Source organism: Homo sapiens, chromosome 4, assembly GCF_000001405.40.
Source record: "Homo sapiens chromosome 4, GRCh38.p14 Primary Assembly".
NCBI lineage: Eukaryota > Metazoa > Chordata > Mammalia > Primates > Hominidae > Homo > Homo sapiens.
The window spans coordinates 177,727,043-177,745,905 of NC_000004.12; the positions used below are offsets into that span (position 1 = coordinate 177,727,043).

At 35.0% G+C, this 18,863-nt stretch overlaps 1 long non-coding RNA gene across 1 annotated transcript in view, besides 1 other annotated feature; it reads left to right on the forward strand.

Moving 5' to 3' along the window:
• Window positions 842–2,041: an enhancer, noted in NCBI's record as "MED14-independent group 3 enhancer chr4:178649038-178650237 (GRCh37/hg19 assembly coordinates)". NCBI's record gives its function as "activates an origin of replication core promoter dependent on BRD2, BRD4, P300/CBP and CDK7 cofactors, and independent of MED14, by STARR-seq in HCT116 cells {active_cell/tissue: HCT116}" and the evidence as "EXISTENCE:reporter gene assay evidence [ECO:0000049][PMID:35650434]".
• LINC01098 (long intergenic non-protein coding RNA 1098) overlaps window positions 1,715–18,863 on the forward strand; it is a 261,994-nt gene continuing 244,845 nt past the window's right edge. Inside the window, 2 exon segments of the long non-coding RNA NR_028342.1 lie at window positions 1,715–1,975; window positions 5,325–5,437. This is a non-coding gene — a long non-coding RNA (long intergenic non-protein coding RNA 1098).

The following is an 18,863-nucleotide window of genomic DNA, read 5'->3' on the forward strand; positions in this document are numbered from 1 at the left end:
GCTTGCTTTATATATATTTTAGCAGCAGTTTTCAGTGAGTGGCAGATTTCAGCAAGTGCCAAAATCTCACTGGGACAAACCCTTCAGAAAATAGAAGAGAATACTGCTGTCTGGGACTAGGTGAATACAGATCTGTTTTTAATTTTCAGGCTTCCTTGTGAAAATTTAATGTTTAAAACATCTAAGCCAGGTTAAAAGTTCTAATAGTTCTGACTGCTGGTAGAACGGACATAATTCTTCATTGCGAGGTGTCCTTGACAGAACGCCTCTTGTTATTATAGAGATACAGGCCTTATGAAGATTCTTTCCTTCATGGTTACCTCTCTTCCTCTGTTTTCATTTGTTTGTTTGACCAAGTCCTACGCTGTGCATACTCCAGAATCACACACACACTGTGTCACTTATCAATCCTGCCGTCCCTGATTTCAGTTGATGATTTTTGTCTATTACTAATGTAGATTATCTGATTCTACCATCACTCTATTAGCTGCTAATGGCCTAATTCAATTGTTATCTATAATCTGTTATTTTTCTTAAGAAATTAGGTCTATGATTGAATTTTTCATAATTTTTCTCTGCAGCAAACTTCGTTTGGAACATCTGGGAGTGATAACTCAAAAGTAGCAATATTCTTGATATGGACAGGGTAGTATAGTGAAAGTGGCGGTGATTATCCTCATTTAAAAAGTGAGTCTATTTTACATTTTAATTGTGGTGATGAACATATTTCAAGGAGATACTAGCTTATACTTAGGAGAATGCTCTCAGTGCCAACAGACAATGAGGGATCAATTTATCATTAACTGATTAGACGAGACTTATTTTGGCAATTGGAAAGAGAAGGCAAATATATCCAGAATGTTCAGAGAATTTCGTTTTTTATTCCACTTTCCATAGTCACTTGTATCCAGAGCTTATATTTTATTTTTGAGTTGAATAAAATAACATTCATAATGTTATGGCATGATGTGTTTTGGTACATTCAGCAAGTGCCACAATCTCACTGGGACAAATCCCCATACCATTCATAATCGCCAATAGTTACAATAATCACTGTTTAGCTTTGTATTATGTACTATAACTTTTACCAGGCAATAATAGTCACTTGAAATAACCATATTCAACTTAAAGGAAATTTAAGAGTTAAAAATATCTATGTGATTATCAAAGAAAATGTAAAAAGCTGAACATAGAACTGTTTCTAGTAATATGGTAGATAAGCTACCTAGAAGCTTGGCTTATACACCACAAAACATTTAGGAGACTTGTATAAGAAAACTCCCAGTATTTTTTTTTTTTTTTAAAGGAAGCTAGAAACCAGAGCTTTCAGCTGAGGCTGTGAATGCTGTAAGCTACACGGATGTGCTTTGGTCAAGGAATGGGCCGAGGCAGACATCCCGGCCTGCATGACTCAGCGGGACTGGTGCACAGGCACACACCTCTACTTGTTATATAACCTGTTTCTGTAAGCTCATACTTGGCTCTATGCCCCTATTGTTTGTAAAAGGTATAACTGCCCTGCTGATGCTGTGCAGGGGCTCTTGGGCGTGGCTTGGCTCGGCTTGGCATAACATGGCTCAACATGGCGCTGGTGCCCAGAGAACGAGAGAGCGAGCCAAAGCTGTCCGTCTTGAAGGCGGGCAGGGGGAAGCCAGGAACCAGGAAAGAGTTAAGCTTCTGACCCGGAAGAAAAGGGAGAGCTGGCCGCGCAGCTGTGCGTGGAAATGGCCGGCTCAAGCAGCCGAGACAGAGCAGAGTGTGAGAGAGCTAATGGAAGTAAGCTGCTGAAGAAACCGTATTCACCTGCCTATGGCCCGTGAGTGTTCTTGAAGCTATCTGGCGTTCATCCACCCACTCCCCTCGGACCTCAGCATGGGCTGGAACCTCACCCTAGACCTAACAGATGCTCTCATGAGCACTCTTCAAACTCAGAAATTTCCCTTACGTCATCACGAGCCGAAGATTTCTAATTAAAGTATGTCAAGATGAAGTGGACTTAATTGACATCTGCCTTTTAAAGTATAATTCGTTCTTTTCTTGAAACTCGGATCTCTAAGTAGTAGAATATTTAGTAAATATAACTCCCATCCTTATTCTAGGCGATTTGGGAAATAAAATATTAGATGTGAAGCTTAATACAACGTTTGAAAATATTATAAACACTTTGTTTTAGTCTATTATTTTGGTTGTTAATGTCAGAAACTCAGATCAAGTTGGATAAATTTAGGAGACTCAAATATTTTCATAAGGGTGCGTTTTCTCTCCATTTCTAGTATTTCCTCTGTAGTTTAGGTTTATTTTCTCCCTCTGTAGATGGACTCCCTCTATAAAGTCAAGGAATATTACGGCCACGAGTGGTGGCTCACGCCTGTAATCCCGGCACTTTGGGAGGCCGAGGCAGGCGGATCACGAGGTCAGGAGATCAAGACCATCCTGGCCAACATGGTGAAATCCTGTCTCTACTAAAAATACATAAATTAGCTGGGTGTGGTTGTGAGTGCCTGTAATCCCAGCTACTCGGGAGGCTGAGGCAGGAGAATAGCTTGAACTAGGGAGGTGGAGGCTGCAGTGAGCTGAGATGGCACCACTGCACTCCAGCCTGGTGACAGAGCAAGACTCCATCTAAAAAAAAAAAAAAAAAAGTCAAGGAATATTACTAGCGGCTCAGATTTGGTTGCATAGTTTATCTGCCACAGTGGGAAAGGGGTGTGAAGCCTTCTTACCCAAAAATTCTGATAAGAGTGACTAGAGTTAATACAACGTGATTCTGATGATTGGCCCTTGGTTCTGAGCCAGGTTGTCAACCCAAAACAACAACAAAAAGCTAAGAGAATATGCTAATCCCATTGCCAAGTCTAGCACCATGCTTGATGCCAGAGAGTTGCGTCAGTTCCAGCCAAATTACACAGATAATTAGGAGAGAAGAGATAAATTGTCAAAGAAAACAGGTGTGCAGTTACTAGCAGGAGAGCAAATGAGTGAGTTTACTCTTCCTCTGGTACTCCCAGAACCAAAAATGTCCAAAACCTAAACTTCATATGTCATCTCATTTTATTTGCTATTTGGTGAGTAGCTTTACCAAGTTGTCATTCTTTGAGAGCTCTAGGATCAACGGATTCTTCTCCCTGCCTTTGAGCTTTTAACAGATTCTTTAACGTCCGCTGAACTGTTAATACACTGCAAATGGCATTGGATAAAGGGAATGGGTTGTAGCTTGCTTCTGCCAGTAGTTACTATCAGTTATAATTGTAGACAATAAATCCAATTTCTTTAAACTCCAAATTTCTTGTTTGAAAAAATTCTATGCAAGATTCAATCAATTTTTTAGACTCTAGATCCTCTTGGATCCAAACAAGTTCCCTCGGTTCTTTCAAAGTCACTGAATTTGATTGCCATATATTTATAGAGTTCATGGCTTGTAAATATAACTTTTGGAAAATACTCAAAATTTTAGATTATTATAATTGCAGATCCTTTTTCACCCCACTAACATCTCCTTTCTCCCGATTGTATGCATTGTCATCGAACCTTCGTGGTCACTTAATAAGTTTAAACAATTTTGGATATTTCCAAAAGCCCGTTTTGTTTTACCTTCAATTTGAAAATCAAACAAAATACTAACTTAGACTCAAACATGTAATCCCTTTCAAAGGTGTAGATTTGTTTTTCTGTTTTTTAGCTCCTAATGAAACTGATAAAATATTTATTTTATCTAATATAACTAGAGAGAATATTGGTCATTGGTATTTGCATCCCTTCCTACTGTTCATCTTCAGTATGTTACAAATTTTAACAAATATCTTAAACAATGGCCTATGAGTTTATGTATTTTCATTAGTTATAAAATATAACTGACATAAAATAAGCTGCATGTACTTAAGGCATATAAAGTGATAAGATTTGATACGTGTATACACCCATAAAACCATCACCATAATCAAGAGTGAGTACATCCATAATCCCCAAAGATTTCCCGTGCCCCTTTCTTATATCTTTTCTTCCCCCACCCATGTCCAGGGCTACCACTGATCTGCTTCTTTCTCTATAGATTAGTTGTGTTTTCTCAACATTTGCATAAATCAAGCCACGAAGTATGGCTTCTTTCAGTTAGCATAATTATTTTGCAATTCATACATGCTCTTGTGTTTCAATAGTTCAATATTTCTCACTATTAAGCAGTCTTCCATGATAGGTATATACTAAAATTTGTTAATCCATTTAATGATGGGCAGTTGTGTTGTTTCCTGTTTCTGATTATTACATATAAATCTGCTATGGCCATGTGTATACCAATTTGTATATGGATGCATGCTTTTTTTCCTCTTGGGTAAATACCTAGGAGTAGAATGTCTCCATCATATGATAGGTAGATGTTTAAATTTAAGAAGCTTACGTTGTCTTACAAAATGGTTGTAGTTGTTTACATTGCTGCCACCAATCTTTCAGTTTCAGTTGTTCTGTGTTCTTGACAGCACTTGGTATTGTCAGTCTTTTAAAATTAGACAATCTAATAGATGTTTATTGATATAGCATTGTGGATTTAATTTGCATTAGCCTAATGATTAATATGTTAAGCATCTTTTCTATGTATTTATTTGCCATTTGTATGTTTTCTTGGGTGAAATATCTGTTCAAATAGTCTGTCGACTTTTATATTGAGTTGTTTTTTAAAAAATTATTGGTCTGAGCATGCTTTATATTTTTTTAGATACAAGTCCTTTGTTAATGATTTGCCTCAATTTTCTGCTAGGCTGTGGTTTGCCTTTTTTACCTGTTTAGCAGTGTATTCTGAGGATCAAAAAAATTTAAAAATTGAATGTAGCTAAGTTAACCATATATTCCTTATTTGATTATGTTTTAGACTCATATTTTTAACAAACCTCTGTAAACCAATTTTCACAAATATTTCCCACATTTCTTGAGCAACTTTTCGTATATTTTACATGATATAGAACAAAGTTCATTTTTTTCTCCATATGGACTTACCATTTTCCTAGTGCTGTTCATTGAACACAATCCTCCTACCACTGAATTGCTTTGACAAAAATTGTATTTGTGGGTCAATTTCTGGGCCCCCTATTCTGTTTTATTGATGTACTTTTCTATGTTGATGCCAATTAAATCAGTCTTGATTACTGATGTGGTTTGGCTGTGTCCTCACCCAAACTCTCATCTTGAATTGTAATCACCGTAATCCCCATGAGCCCCACCTGTCAAGGCAGAGACCAGGTGGAGGTAATTGAATCATGGGGGTGGTTTTCTCAATGCTGTCCTCTTGATGGTGAGTGAGTTCTCACGAGATCTGATGGTTTTGTGTTTGTTAGTTCCTCCCGAGTTCATTCTGCTTCCTGCCACACTGTGAAAAAGGTGCCTTTCTTCTGGTTTGCCTTCTACCATGACTGCAAGTTTCCTGAGGCCTCCCCAGCCATGCAGAACTGTGAGTCAATTAAACCTCTTTCCTTTATAAATTACCCAGTTTCGGGCAGTTCTTTATAACAGTGTAAAAATTGACTAATACAATTACTGTAACTTTTTAAGTGTTGCAATCAATATCCTATAATTTTGTTCTCTTTTAAAATTATTTTGACTATTCTAGTTCCTTTGGTTTTCATATGAATTATAGAATCACCTTGTCAATTTCTACAAAAATTCTGTTGAGATTTTTATTTTTATTGAAATTGTGTTGAATCTTTAGGTCCCCTCTGGGGAAATTTACATCTTAAGAAAATTGAGTCATCAGAATTATAAAAATGGCACATCTCTCCCTTTAAGTATTCTTTAATTTCTCTCAGCAATGTTTTATTTTTAGTGCATGTCTTGTATATCTTTTGTCAGATTTATTTGTAAGAATCTCATTTTTGATGCAATCTAAATGTTTCTTAAATTGTCAGTTGTGTCCACTGCTAGTATGTGGAGATATTTGATTTGTTTTTATCTTTCCACCTTACTAAATTAGTTATTAATTTTGATAGCTTTTTGTAGATTGCATCAGGTTTTCTACAAAGTCACAAGTGTCATCTGTGAATGAAGAGAGTTTTATTTCTTCCTTTTCTATGTGTATGTCTTTTTATTTTTTGATGACTTTTTGCACTGGCTAAAATGTCCAGTTCAATGTTAAATAGAAGCAGCGAGAGAAGACATTTCTATCTGCTTGCTCGTTTTAGGATGAAAGCACGCTGTCTCTCACCATTAATTACGATGGTAGATGTTGGTTTATTGTAGATGTCCTTTATAATATCGAATAATTTCCCTTTTATTCTTACTTTGTTGAAAGTTTTTATCAGGACTAAATGTTGGATTTTTTCAAATGTTTTTTCTGAGTTTAAGGTTATCATATAGTTTTTCTTTTCAGTTTGTTAATATGGTGAATAATACTGATTTCTCTTCAAACGTAAAATCAAACATCATATATATTTTCAGATTCTTATATATTAAAATTTTGTTTGAAACTTTACATTTATGTTCATTGGGAGTACTTGTTTGTAGTTTTTCTGGAAATGTCTGCTTTTGGCATCAGAGTAATTCTGGCCTTACGGAACGTGCTGGGAAGCATTCTGTCCTCTTCCATTTATGTTTGGCAGAGTTCAATGAAGTATTTAATATGAGCATATAATTTTCCTTGTGGGAAAGCTTTAAATTCCCTTTTTAAAATTAATATGAGACTTTTATCAATTATTTTTGTTTTTGAAGTAATTTGTCATTCACATTATATTGGAGTTGTTGAATATTTTGGCATACATTTTTCATATGATTACCTTAAAATTCTGTTAATACATAGAATATGAACTACTGTTATTTTTTATTCTTGGTATAGTTAATTCGGATCTTATTCCTCCCTACCTTTTCTTCCTGGCAAATCTGACTCAAGTTTTATCAGATTTTTTTTCCTCTCTAGAGACAGTTTTCAGGTACATTGATTTTTGTTGTTGTTTTTCCCCCCAATTTTTCTTTTTCTATCATGTATTTCTGTTCTGATCATTAATATTTCCTTTCCTTTGCTTTATTGGGCTTGTTTTTTTTCTGACTTCTTAAAATAGCACATGTGGTCATAAATTTGAGTACTTTTTTCTAATATGGCTTCTTCAAATTTATGCCTATACACTTACATCTAGTGACATTCTAGTTGTTCTGACATTTTGTGCTTTCATTGGCATTCAGTAAAATTTCTAACTTCCAATTTGATAGCTGCTTTGATCCACATATTACTTAGAAGTGTGGTGTTTTAATATTTAATTAGGAATTTTCATGAGAACTTTTCTATTAATGACTTGTAATTCAATTGTCAGAGAACATACTTTGCACTAATTGAGTTATTTTAAATCTGTTGGCTTGTGTTATGGCCCTAGATGTTCTATATCTCAGTAAGTGTTCCATGTACTCTTAAAGAATTGGTGTAATCTGCTGTTAATTGGATTCTAAAATTGTCATTTTTTTCTTTTTACCATTGTAACCATTTTTAAGTGTACAGATAATAGTGTTAAGTATATTCACATTGTTGTGAAACAGATCTCCAGAACTTTTTCATCTTGTAAAATGAAATCCTATACCTGTTGAACAACTTCCCATTCTCTTCCCCACCCCCCGCAAGGCCCTGGCAACCACTATTTTATTTTCTATTTCTATTAGTTTGACTACTCTAGATACCTCAAGTAAATGGAATCATACCGTATTTGTCTTTTTGTGGCTGGCTTATTGCACTTAGCATAATGTCCTCAAGGTTCATTCACGTTGTAGCATGTAACAAGATTTCCTTCCCTTTTAAGGTTGAATAATCCATTGTATGTTTATACCATATTTCATTCATCCATTCCTCCATCAGTGGACATCTGGTTTGCTTCACCTCTTGGCCATTGTGATAATGCTGTTATAAACATGGGTGAGCTAATATCTTTGAGATCCTGCTTTCAAAACTGTCAATTTCTTTGATTTGGTTGGTAGTGTTCAAGACTTCCATACGTTTATGGAATTATATATTTGTTCTATCAAGTTTTGAAAGAGTGCTATTGAAATCTTTAACTGTAACAGTAGATATGTATTTCCCCTTGCAGGTCTATTGAGTTTTTGCTTCATGTACTTTGAAGCTCCATTACTGCATACATAGAGTTTAAGATCTTAATGTCCTCTCAACGAACTGATCTCTTTATCATTGCAAAAAGAATTTTTTTTGGTCTTTGGTGATATTCTTTGTTCTGTAATTTACTTTGTCTAGTGTCTTGCAGTTACAGCCACTTTATTTTGATTAGTTTAGCATGGTGTATCATTGTTATTCTACCCACTTAGATATCAGTGTTAAAGTTTCATTCCCTTTAAGCAGTAAAAAGATAAAACTGTATTTTTTATCCAATCTGATGGTTTTTCTACCTTTTAACTATAGTGTTTGTCACTTACACTTAATGTGATTGTTGACATGGTTGACTTTAAGACACCTGAAGTTGGCCATGGAGTTTATGACTGGCCATTTTCAACTTCAGTGTGAATACAGAATATTTATATTCCTGCATATTTTATTAAAAATTGAAAATGGAAATCTTTCAATTGGTCACAGAATGGAAACTAAAAACAAATACCAATGTTTGCTTTTATCAAGTTGATATGGTTTGGCTGTGTCCCCACCCAAATCTCATATTGAATTTTAGTTCCCATAATCCCCACATGTCATGAGAGGGACCTGGTGGGAGGTAACTGAATCATGCGAGCAGTTACCCTTATGGTGCTTTTGTGATAGTGAGTTCTCATGAGATCTGGTGGTTTTTTTGAGGGGCTTTCCCCCCTTTTGCTTGGCACTTCTCCTTGCTGCCCCCATATGAAGGACATCTTTGCTTCCCCTTCTGCCATGATTGTAAGTTTCCTGAGGCCTCCCCAGCCATGCTGAACTGTGAGTCAATTAAACCTCTTTCCTGTATAAATTACCCAGTCTTGGGTATGTCTTTATTAGCAGCATGAGAATGGACTAATACACAAATGCTAACCTATAATTGTAGTATTTAAAAAGAGACTATAAATTGAGGCTTCTACTGTTAAGATAGAAGCCTAGTTTAAATAAGAGTTTTCTAAAATGTCTTAATTGGCAAATCCTGGACCAATTTTATTTTTATAGGTAGTATTGTATGCTATGCATGAAGCTAGTTTGATAAATATTGGTTAAATTGGATTTTCTGAATCTTCCTGGATGTTTAGTTTAATACATTTTGTCTCATGCCCCTAACATTGCTTTTATCAATTTCTAAGACTATGTCTAGGTTTCTAATTCCTTCTAAAGTTTTAAATTGGCAGAATCATTAGAAGCAGTCGGATAAGTTATCTGCAGATCCAGGAAAATTTTGATTTCACTGGTCACATTCCCAAGGTTGTCCAATCCCATATTCTTCCATTTTACAATGTGGCCTGTAAAAAGGAAGATAATTTTCTCACTCCTTCCACTAACTCCAAACATGAGGAACCTCTTTATATATTTATTAAAAAAAGGTATGATAGCTTGATAAAGCTGGAGTTTGAATTATGGTAAAACAAAACCAAACTGTTTTATGCATACAGTAAGAAATTATATATATATATAAATTATATGTGTATATATAAATTATATGTATATATATAAATTACATGTATATATATAAATTACATGTATATATATAAATTATATGTATATATATATAAAAATTTTGAGACAGAATCTCACTTTGTCACCCAGGCTGGAGAGCTGTGGCACAATCTCGGCTCACTGCAACCTCCGCCTCCTGGGTTCAAGCAATTCTCCACCCTCAGCCTCCTGAGTAGCTGGGACTACAGGCATGTGCGTGGCTAATTTTTTGTATTTTTAATAGAGATGGGGGTTTCACCATGTTAGTCAGGATGGTCTCGATCTCCTGACCTCGTGATCCGCCCATCTAGGCATCCCAAAGTGCTGGGATTACAGGTGTGAGCCACTGTTCCTGGCCAAAATTTTATATTTCTACCTTTATATTCTGTTTGATATGATTCCTAAGTTATTAATAAATATTGTATATTTTATATCTAATAAGAATTGAACTATTAACAAAATTACTAATATACACATACATAAACTTGAGTCAAATGGAAATAGTCTTGATATATTCCACTCAATTGTTAACTGGTGGGAATGGATTTATGATTTAACATAGAAGGCAAATTTAATAGTTGTTTGCATTGTGAAGATAAGTCCCTGACAGCATTTCTTTTTATTGAAACTGATAGTTATAACTACTTTGAACCATTTACTTATACATCTATACATAGTGATCTTTAAAGACAAAATATTGAGTAATATTATAACATCTGGAGACCTATTAAGCCGTTATAAACAATAGGTCATAGAACACTTTCACAGAGAGAACTGATTCTAACAAATTATTGTACTGACCCATATAATTATCTTTAATACAAGAAGATATGATACTTTTAAAATAATGGTCAGAACAGAACTATAAAAGGATTTACCCAAGTATATGCTGATGCATATTTGCCTGTGATGCCCTAGTATGACAGACTGAGGACAAATATGATGAACATTACTCCAGATAAAGTTTCATTTTCAGTTCTCACTAATCTAGAACATGCTACTTTAGCCAGGACAAGATAGGTAGTTTATAGGTCTCATGGTGACCACATCATATTCCAACAATAACTAGCCTTTAAAACTCAGCAGTTTTTAACAGTAGTTTCTCATGCTTTTCGGTGATTATATGCTGAATAATGTCCTAATGTTCTGTTGGAATGCATAGTTTGAAAATATGAGATTCACTGATGCAAGTCTCAAGTAAAACCACATTAAACCTTCATCCATGACTAAGTGTAGTTCTTGCGGGGCAGGAGATAGGTGGGAAACTAAAGGAGGAGAGCAAATAGGACAATGCTCTTATAGGATTGTATTGAACTACAAGTTCAGATTGTGTTTCTGAGTTTGCTAGTAGTATAGAAAGCCATATATGTATGTGTGTATATGTGTGTGTGTGTGTGTGTGTGTATAGAGAGAGAGAGAGAGAAACAATGTTACACATGGTAGCTGATCTCAAGCCATCTAAAAAAGCTTGTAAGTAACATATTAGCATTACTATGCTTCATATGACATACAGGGCACAGAGGATAATAGTACTGAAATTAATGTTACTACTAATTTTAATTTCCCAGGTGACTGGAAAAAATTTCAAGTTTCAAATTCAGAATTCCACCAGCATGATTTTCTACTTCTAGTACTTCTTATGAAAGATTGTATTTTCCAAAGATGACTATACCCATGTATACATATGAAAATCATCCTATATACTTAAAATGTAATGGTAATATACCTCTATTGAGAAGTACAATCTATGTTCCCTCTTCCCAAAACTGGGCGTACTTTTGTGACCTCTTTGACCAATAAAAAGTGGTAGAGGGGTGTTGCATGACTTCTGAGGTCTGACCATGAGTGGCGATGTGGTTTCTCTTTTCCTTGAAAGACTTGCTAATAAAACGGAAAGGCCATTGTGTCTTGCTGAGAGTCCCAGCTAGTCCCCTAACTGACCGTCAGCATCCATGGTCAGACATATGAGTGAATGAGGTTTCAAATGTTTCTAGGCCTGGATTTTAAGTCTCTCAGCCATGTCCCAGACATTGTGGAACAGAGACAAACTGTCCCACTGTATCTTGTGACCAACTGAAGCAGACAGATAATTATTCTTTCAAGCTCTAAGTTTTGGGGTAATTTGTTGCACAGCAATAGACATAGTTTTATGATTGTACCTGTTTTCTTCATGGCACCGCCACATTTGTCCCCCTGGCTACATACATTTAGCCCTAACTTTTTGCTACAATGGCAAGGTTTAGGAGCTCTGACAGTACCAGTTCCAGCACTGGGGAGGGTAAGTAAGTTTGGAATGTGATAAAAGATACCAGGAGGAATAATTATTTCTGCAATATCAATTACTACAAGTATGGTGAATCCAGAAGTGAAGGAGAAAGATTAGATTCAGCAGCACTTTGAAGCCCATCAATATGTAATATCACTATGAAGTTGCTTTGCTATTTTGCTTCAATAGCTCGTGATTAAAATAAACTTTATTAAATTCTAATTTAATGATCTAAAATATTATTTTACTATTAGAATGCATTAGCAGTGCTTAAACATTGAATTGTTATTGCCATTTGTTAAGATTTAGAAAACACCTGCTTTTAATAAGTTGGTACTAGCAGTAGGTCTTTATTTGAAGTTGAAATTTTTCCTTAAGGTGTTTGAGAAATAAGTGTACGAAGCTTCATTTCTAAAAAAAAAAAAAAAACAAATAAAAATAAGTGGTCAAATGAAGTTGTACTCATGTTATTTGACCATAGTTAACATTTTACAGTAAAAAGAGTAGATAATTTGCAGTTGGACAGTGGATTTTGAATATGTAGGCAATATTGATTAAAACAGTCAACTAGTTAACCCCTTTCTCAGTGACCTGAATAACCCAGTGCTATTGCTATTGTATTGTGCATTCTTTTCTTGAAACTCCGGAGAAAATGCTGAGTCTTTTATACTTTAGCTAACAAATTATTGGAGAAAATCTTGCATTAACAACTTGTGATTTATAGGTAATTTCTTGTCAGTGACAGATTTATGATCTCTTAATTTTTAGCCAGGTCTACTTCTGTAAGTACTAAACTCTAGCATTTATTTTTTAAAATTGGAAATTAGAAACATTTGACTTAATGACGGTTGTCAGTATCAATAGAATGATAGTATGAGCAGTGATCTGCAAATTTTAAAAAATCAAATGACATGGATTTATTATGTTTTAGATGACCATATTTTAAAAGCCTTATGGAAACATAGTCCACAATACATAATGTGTTAGAGTCTGGTCAGAATTAAAACAAAAATAAAGCAATTGCCAAACTAAAATTTCATGCAACATAACTTTTTAAATAAGAATAGAGAGAGACATTTCCAGTGACATAAGCAGGTGAGTTTTCTTGGCTCTCTTTTTGACTACCTCCGTGTGATCCCTATTTTCCTGCTAGAATGTACCGCCGGTCAGGTAAAGTTTAATATTGGATTTGAGTCTTACTCTACCAGTGGTGGAATACAGCCTATTTATATACTTCCTTAGCTATTTTTTATAATGCTATTCAAACTACAATTGTCTGCCAGGAATACTCAATGTTTAAGGTTCTAATCCATTCCACCTTCTCTGTGAAGGCCTTCCCTTATCACCATCTAAGCCACTTCAATTTCAGGTAAACCTTCCACAACTCACTTCCACTGTTAAGGAATCTCATGTATACCTCTCCTAGAGCTGTGTGATTGTTTTTACAATATTTTTTTCTGAACTCATTGAGGGCAGAGACTGGGTCATTTTTTTGGAAGTGACGTTCCATGGGACAGTGCTTGGAATATATTACAAACTCAATAAATCCAGTTTGAATGAATTGAACCCTAAATGATAAGAAGGATATTAGAGTTTTACCTTAATAAGAGCAAAGAGTTAAAGACAGTGCAAGGCATAATTTTAATGCGTAATTAGACGAGAGAAGAAGGGAGTAGGGGGATAACCAGTAGATGAGACTAGAAAGCTAGAATGGAACCTTTAAATCCAGCTCATCTGTTACTTCACCTGGGAAAGCTTCTCTAAGCAGGGTGCACAGAAATCTGTTCTATGAACTCTTTATAGAGTTTCCTTAACTGTCTCATACAAATTTTTAGATACTATCTGGTATTAGTCATTTGTGGATATGATTTATCATTTCCGTTGAAAAGTGAAACTCTTCAAGGCATACTATGTTATACCTCAGGTTTCTGGTCCCAGAAATACTTACTGTTACAGCTTCTACAAGTGAGTGTTCAATCATCATTAGTTACATAAATAAATGTATTTAAATAAAAAGGCAAATAGTTATTATATAGAATTCTTTAAAACTGGCTTCAGAAAGGTCATAAATCAAAAAACAGTGACATATAGTGAAATTACATGCTGGACGTTATTTGTGAACTTTTCATTTCTGAAAATATAATTAGAAATAATATTTATAGTTAACTACATACATAAAACTAATTCTAGAAAGAAAAATAATGCCAGCTTTCTTTGTGCTATGAAGACTAAAGTAAGCATTAGCTGTCTGCTTTTATGAGAATTTTTTTCCCCTTTGTTATAATAAAAATGTCCTTCAAATCCTCAGGCATTCTGAATTTCTAGAAACAAAACTGAGAGCATTTAAAAATACACGTTGTTAGACCATGATTTATTATAGTAATTATTTTCTAAAAACAGAAAACATAAAAGCACAGGACCTGAGGGCAGGGACATCTTTTTCATCCTTTTGGCCCCAGCTTAGTACATTGCTTTCAGAGAATAGGTACTCTATTTTTTACAAAGTATACTCTATCTGCTGAACTGAACTAAACTGACACACGCAAAAGAGTGAATATGAACATATACATTTATACATGTCAACATGTGCATGTTTACCACACTTAGGTTAATTAGAAACATTTTCCGTTGGAGTAAAAATACTTGCTAACGTTCATAGTAAGGAAAAGAATGGAAAGAATACATTAGGAACCTATTATATATAAGGCATTGTAGAAGATACTAAGAAGCATAAAATTCCTAAGAAATTTCCACTTTAATGAGAAAAATAGCCTATGTATAGAAAGTTAAGCAACCATTAAGGATAACTAACAGTGCAATATATTAAATAGGTAACTACTGAGTTGTGATCATTATTTGTGTTTCCACTCGTCATCTGTTTTTTCACCCTTTTTAATATCATCCTGGTTTCCTCGAGGAGGAGCACTCTTTTCTACCTCGGTAAGGTGGAATAGCAAGGTGCTTGTGTTTTTCCGTTAGAGTCTCGGTAGTATATTTTTGTTAGATACCCTTTTTATACTGTTGACAGCCAAATGACAGACAGGTGATCCTGGCCAATAGTATCTCTCACCTGGGACATTGAGGCTAAATTGGTACAAGGTTAAAACATTCATAAATGATGAGCTCTGTCAAGGTACCTATAAGCTTGCGTAGTGGTCCCTTCTGATAGCTGTATGTTCCTATCTAGTCTGAGGATGGTTGTGTTACCAGTGGAGGGTCTTGACTATGGGTCATCCAGGCTCTTGGCATTTTGAACAAAGAATTGGACAAAATGCCCAAACAAAACAACAAAAGAAGGAAGCAATGAAAGCATAGGTTTATTGAAAGGGAAGTACACTCCATGGAGTGGTGGTAGGCTCCAGCAAGCGGCTCAAGAGCACTGCTTACAGAATTTTCTGAGGTTTAAATACCCTCTTCCCATTTGTTAGTTGGTTACACCCTACGTAAATGAAGGAGTGGCCCACCACCGGTCTGGTTGCAGGAGGTGACCCATCAGAAGTCCTCTCCATTTTTTAATCTTCAGGCTGAAAGTGGGGGTTACCTCTGATCCTTTTGTTACTTGGACATGGAGAGGTGGGGTTTTCTTTTTGATTCAATTCTAGGAAGTCAGTGAATATTGAGCTTAGGTTCCCTGCCTTCAGACCCTATTCTCCTCCCTCAGTTATTCACCCTTTCCCTCAATCCTCTGAGTGGCCTTTCATCCTGCTAGTAACAGCTGCAATTGTTGAAAGTTAGGCAACATTGCTTGTTTTGTTCTTGTTTCTATAGATTTTTTTGTTGTTAATTCAGCTTTTTAAAAATCCTGATTAAAATAATTACTAAATACTTCTAGTAAATACTAGAAAAGGTCAGAGGTAGGAGAGAGTTCTATGCTGCAGTGCTCTGAAAAAAAATAATTTCCAAAGAAATATTTGATGTGGGACTTTGAAGGATAGATACAAATTGACCAATGTTAAATGAAGAAGGCAGGCAGGCTTTTTAGTGATGAGGAAAGCCTGGTATTAAATGTTAGAAACTGAAGATCATGAACTGCCACTGGGAGAGAGAGTAAGTAGAAATAATTTTATGTGGAACTACAAATGTAGAATAGAAAAGGGGTTGAGCACATATGTTTAAAATCCTGATTCTGGGTTTAAGTGTTTGGTGTTTATGACATAAAATATTTGAAGATAAAACCAAGTTAGAATGCAAAAGAGTAAAGCCCTACTTTAGATAAGAAACAACTAATATTAGCTACAGATCAATAAAATGCACTTTTAAAATATTTTTTTGCCTTGCTATTGAGTCTTGTTTCAAATTAAAGTATACACAGTACACATAATAATCAAAGTTGGTATTATAAATATATAAATCCTATCTAAATTAAGAATATTACATGTTTTCTCTTATATAGAATGAGAGAAAGAAAAAGCTAAGTCTTCTGAAATCAATTTTTGAGATTTCATCTTAAGATTGGTAGACAAGGAAAAATGAGACAAGAAGTAAATCACAAAATTACGAAGTACAAGGAGATTTTTGAGAATTAAAAGAGAAACTTAGAGCTTTTGATCATAAAGGAAAAAAGGAAATTGCATCCTTCTGTACAATTACATCAGTATTGATGTATAATCCACACCATTCAGTATCTAAAATTTGACTGGGCCTAAAATAGCTGCTGTGATTTCCATGCTAAATTAACAAGATAAATTACAGAGCATCATTTTATTGCTATTGTTGATGAAAAGTAAAAGTTGCAATCAATCATCTAAATGAATTTTGGCATTATGGTTTGGGCAAAACATCTGGATTTGGATAGACATGTTTTGGTTTTTATTATCTGCACAAAGTTACACTCAGATTTCCATACTTTTTCTTTTAGGGAATGTATCCTATCAATATGTTTTCCAAGGTTTTAACTACTAATTACTCTGGTTTTGATTAAACATAACACAAACTAAATAATGGAGCTTAGATATTAGATACCATCAGCATTTGTGCTGTACAAATGGTAGCCATTGGCCATATCTTGCTACGGAGCTCTTAAATTATGGCTAGATTGAATTGAGATGTGCTCTAAATGTAAAATACATACTGACTTTGAAGACTTAGTATGAAAAAAGAATTATACATATTCATATAAAAGATAAAATATATATGGCTAAAACATTCCTGTTAAAGTAATTTCACTTGTTTCTTTTTACTTTTTAATACGGTTACTAGAAACTTAAAATTCTACTTGTGGCTTGCATTGTGTGTCTACTTGACAGCACTGATCCAGAGCCTGAAGTAATGAAATCACTGTAGTTGAAGACGGAAGGCTGCCTTCTCTCTCCTACGTTCTCTGATCAAATAACCTGGGGCCTAATTGTGGACACAAATTGCTTAATTGTAATCAGTGATCTTGGTTTCTTCTGGGAAACCAGTATCTAAGCACCCATGATTGTTGCTCGTATAGCGAAGACTTGGCAATGAAAATTTCATAGCTCAGAATATGGGGTCAGTGTTGATAGATGAAGGGTTTTGAGCCTCCCCCTCCATCTTGACCCATAGGCAGGAGAGGATACGCTTATTTCAATGGGCAGTGGGACTATGTAGGGGCTGCCCAGGAACCGTGAGGCCTCCATGGCAGGGCAGTCATGAACTCTGCCTTCACTCCTAAGATCAGTTGAGTATTGGATCCATAAGCTGGCTAAGTGCACTGGCTTGCCATTGGATTAAAAAAAATGCCTTTTTCAGTGACAGATTTGTTTTAATTCAAGTACTTAGACTGTTTTTTTTTAATTGCAAAGCATCAAAATTGGGTTTGAAAAGCTGCTTATCTTCATTATGTTTTCCCAGGGGGTGGCCTAAGATTCCCCATGTCACCGTATGTACAGAAAACATTATTTTGAATAAATGTGAATTCGCAAGTGCCATTAATCAAATTTACAAGATGATTGTTTTCTAATAAGCTTTGCCTGTCAACTTTCTTAGTAATTCTTTTACACCCCATGGTGAAAATGACCCATCATGCAATCTGTTGATGGCATTCATTGAATTAGAATTAGGCTTATAATAAATCTCACATACTTTAAAGTACAGTAATCAAGAGGATATGTTACTTAGCATTCAGCATTTCCATCTGTTGTACATTGGTAATCACTGGGTATTTCAGTCCAGTGCAAGAGCATATATCTGCCCTGCCTACACATCTAAAAAAATAGGCAATGTATTTGTAAGCTCCTCATTTTTTGCGTTGTAATTCAAAACATTTTCCAAAGAAATTTTTAAGGGATAAGCCTATATAACATGAATACTTTAAATGTTGAGACAGCTTTTTATTTAAGTCACCTACCTACACAATGTAAAATCTTAAATGTAGGTAGTCCTTGTTTTGCATAGTGTCATGTTACTGAAAGCTTGCGTAGATGGGAATGGAGTCCTCTTTCGTAGGTTCCATGGTAACTAGCAATTGCCAAACTGTTTAGGAAAGCCATATGCCTAACTATGAAACACTCAAAATTCAGTTAGACACATTATACCATTAAGTATAAAATTAGAAATAAAGACAAGTACCATCGTAGATAATTGTCAGATATTTTGTGCCAAATTTTATGATATTCCTAAATCCACTGGAGACTCCCGAACTGCTATGGATTTAGAGAGAAAAGTCATCTTCTCAGTTGTCTTTACCGTTTTATCTCTTCTTTCACGTTTACGCTACAAAAAATTGATTATAAATCTGGTTGCTGTGCAGACTAAGCATGGCAAAATGACACAGCAATTTAGGAAATGTTTTGTAAGGTTCTTGGTGAGCTACTAGAGTCAAACCAATGGAGTGGCATAATGTCAATTTGCACCCTATTGACAAGTCCAGATTTACTCACTTTGATAAGATTCTTCTGTAGATAACTTACATTTATCCTAAAACATAAATCTCCAAGCTTTATGTATTAGTGGAGAGGATTTTATATGCAGAGAATTAGGAAGCAATGAAAACTACCGATTTTAATTTGATCTGTTTGAAAATATTGAGAAGGTCCAATGCAATATAAGGCTAAC